We start from the raw sequence: 3,266 nt of genomic DNA on the forward strand, positions 1-3,266 counted from the left end.
GGAGTTTGAGGCTGCAGTGAGCTATCATCATGCCACTGCACTCCAGCCTGGATAACAGATACTGACACTGTCTAAAAAAAAAAAAAAAGGAAAAAAAGAATAAAAGTTGTCTTTTGGTGTTTATTGACTTCAATGGCACTGAAAATGAGCAATAACCAAATGAAATGTAATAAGTATATCAAATTATATATTTTGGTTCAAAAAAAGCTTATGTGGGCAAAATACTGATCTGAAGATGGGACTACAATAGGATGGGGCTGCCAGAAAATATGATGCAATCTCAGTTACATAATTTAAGTACAGTGTCCAGAATAAGGGAGGTAATTGTCCTGCTCTACTCTAAGCTGGTAAGAGCCTTACTCTATTAACTTACAAGAAACAAATTCTCTGCAGCCATCTAAGCCTAGAAGAGAACCAAAATATCATTTATCCCTGCTGAGAACACAGTAGGGACTCTAGAAATCAAAAAATAGCTATACCTTCTCAACAGCAACACTAATGGTCTTATTCTCAGAAAAAGAGATATTGGTTGCTACTCTCATGCTCTATTTCATGGTGCCATCTCTGCTTCTATTCTACTGAGGCAATATAACATAGTGTTTAAAAGCATAGGCTCTTGAGTTTGCCTATAATATAACCTCCATTCCTCAATTTCCTTTGCTATAAAGTGAAAACAATAACAGAACCTTCCTTGCAGAGTTGTTGAACGAGTTAAGCAAGTTAGTCCATGTAAAATTACCTAGTTCCTGGCACAGTAAGTGCCTCCTAAGTGTTACCTTGTATTAGTATTACTAGTCCTGATACTACTCTGCTCTTCTAGCTCTTGTGCACTACTTCTCACATCCTTCTATGTATTAGTCTGTTTTCTCTTGATTTTAACAGAATACCTGAAGCTGGGCAATGTATAAAGAAAAAGAATTTCTTACAGCCATGGAGGCTGAGAAGTCCAGGTGGAGGGGCTGTGTCTGGTGAGAGCCTTCTTGCTGGTGAGGACTCCCAAGAATCCCAAGGTGTTGCAAGCTATCACGGCAAGGGGGCTGAGCATGCACTCCAACCTGGGTGACGGAGTGAAACTGTCTCAAAAAAAAAAAAAAAAAAAAAAAAAATCATGAGGGAGGGCTCTGTCCTCATGAATAGATTAACCCACTACTCATGGATTAATGAGTTATCATAATTAGGCAACTGGCTGAGCATGCAAAGGACTCAGGTCTCCCTATTTTAAAGCCACCAGTTGCCCGCTTATGATAACTCATTAATTCATGAGTAGTGGGTTAATCTATTCATGAGGACAGAGCCCTCCCTCATGATTTTTTTTTTTTTTTTTTTGAGATGGTTTCACTCCGTCACCCAGGTTGGAGTGCAGTGGCACAATCACAGCTCACTGCAGCCTCTTCTGGGCTTAAGCAATCCTCCCATCTCAGTCCCTACCCCGAGTAGCTGGGACTACAGGTATACCCCCCACTACACCTGGCTAAGTTTTGCATTTTTTGTAGAGATAGAGTTTCACCATGTTGCCCAGGCTGGGTCTTGAAGTCCAGGGCTCCAGTGATCTGTCTGCCTTACCTCCCAAAGTGCTAGGTAGGATTACAGGTGTGAGCCACCATGCTGGCCCTCAGTCACCTCTTAAAAGTCCCCACCTCTCAATTCTGCCACAGTGGGGATGAAATTTCAACTTGAGTTTTGGAGGGGATAAATATACAAATATAGCATTTTGGCTTTTTCAAAGATGTCCCTTTGTCATCAGCATCAAAACTTTTCCTTTCTCTGAGTCATTTCCATTGACATAGAAATTTGTTGTAATGTCCCTGATCTCTTAAAAAAAATTGTTCTTTGATCACACAGCCTCCTCCACACTATTTCTATTCCTCTCCTTCCATTCTCAAACCCATTCAAATCAGGCTTTCATCACGCCACTCTACTGAAATGGTGCTTGTCAATGTCACCAACAAATGGGTTCCACATGACCAAGTCCAGTGGTCACTTCCCAGGCCTCGTCTTGCTTGGCTTGTCAGCAGTATTTGACACACCTGATCATTCCCTCCTTCAAACACTTTTTTTTTCCTTCAAGACAGAGTTTCACTCTTGTTGCCCAAGCTGTAGTGCAATGGTGTGATCTCAGCTCACTGCAACCTCCACCTCTTGGGTTCAAGCAATTCTCCTGCTTCAACCTCTCTAGTAGCTGGGATTACAAGCACGCACCACCATGCCCAGCTAATTTTTTGTATTTTTAGTAGAAACAGGGTTTCACCATGTTAGCCAGGCTGATCTCGAGCTCCTGACCTCAGGTGATCCACCCTCTTCAGCCTCCCAAAATGCTGGGATTACAGGTGTTAGCCACTGCGCCCGGCCATCTTCAAACACTTTCTTCGCTTGGCTTTCGGGACACCACACTCAGCTCTCCTGCATCTCTGAACACCAGTTTTGTTTTTTTTTTTCATGTCAGACGGGAAATGTACTGATGTCATAACAAGATTCAAGGGTGCCACATCTCACACATGCACGTGAACACCCAATCAACACACTTAGGAACTACAAAAGGATCTGACCACTGCTTTTCACTCTCATCTTCATCTCCTAACATTGTCGAGCCCCAGAGGTAAATCATCAAATCTCTTCTCTCAAAACTCAAAGAGATTGATCCCAGCCAATCTCATTGCTTTAAACACCATCTATATGTTGAAGATTCCCAAATGTGCATCTCCAGCCATAACTTCTGCCTTAACTCCAGGTTTCTCCTATCCAACTGCCTACTTGTCAGCCTCACCTGGCAGTCTTAATAGATGTCTCTTATTTTTTTGGAGACAGAGTCTCGCTCTTATCACCCAGGCTGGAGTGCAGTGGCACGATCTTGGCTCACTGAAACCTCCGCCTCCCGGGTTCAAGCAATTCTCCTGCCTCAGCCTCCTGAGTAGCTGGGATTACAGGCCCGCACCACCACGCCCAGCTAATTTTTTAAGTTTTTAGTAGAGACTGGGTTTCCTGACCTCAGGTGATCCACCCGCCTTTGCCTCCCAAAATGCTGGGATTACTACAGGCGTGAGCCATTGCACGCAGCCTGTTTTTCTTGATTTCTATACCACTCTCTTTCCTTTGAATTCCCTGAGAGGACTGAATAGGTTGTTCTATTACCATTTAGTAGGAAGCAGCCCTGCTGGGTGAGTTGTCAAGCCAGTCACCAAGGGGCTTCCAGCTGCAGTTTGTGATTGAATCCTCTGATCTGCCTCCCACTAGATTCCACTATCATTAGCTTCACTGATACCAATGAG

At 43.4% G+C, this 3,266-nt stretch overlaps 1 non-coding gene across 1 annotated transcript; it reads right to left on the reverse strand.

Annotated features, from left to right (window-relative positions):
- On the reverse strand, window positions 2,438-2,541 carry SNORD13H (small nucleolar RNA, C/D box 13H). Its single transcript, NR_145753.1, has one exon. It is a non-coding gene; the product is annotated as a small nucleolar RNA, C/D box 13H (small nucleolar RNA).

Source organism: Homo sapiens, chromosome 16 (genome assembly GCF_000001405.40).
Source record: "Homo sapiens chromosome 16, GRCh38.p14 Primary Assembly".
Classification (NCBI taxonomy): Eukaryota; Metazoa; Chordata; class Mammalia; order Primates; family Hominidae; genus Homo; species Homo sapiens.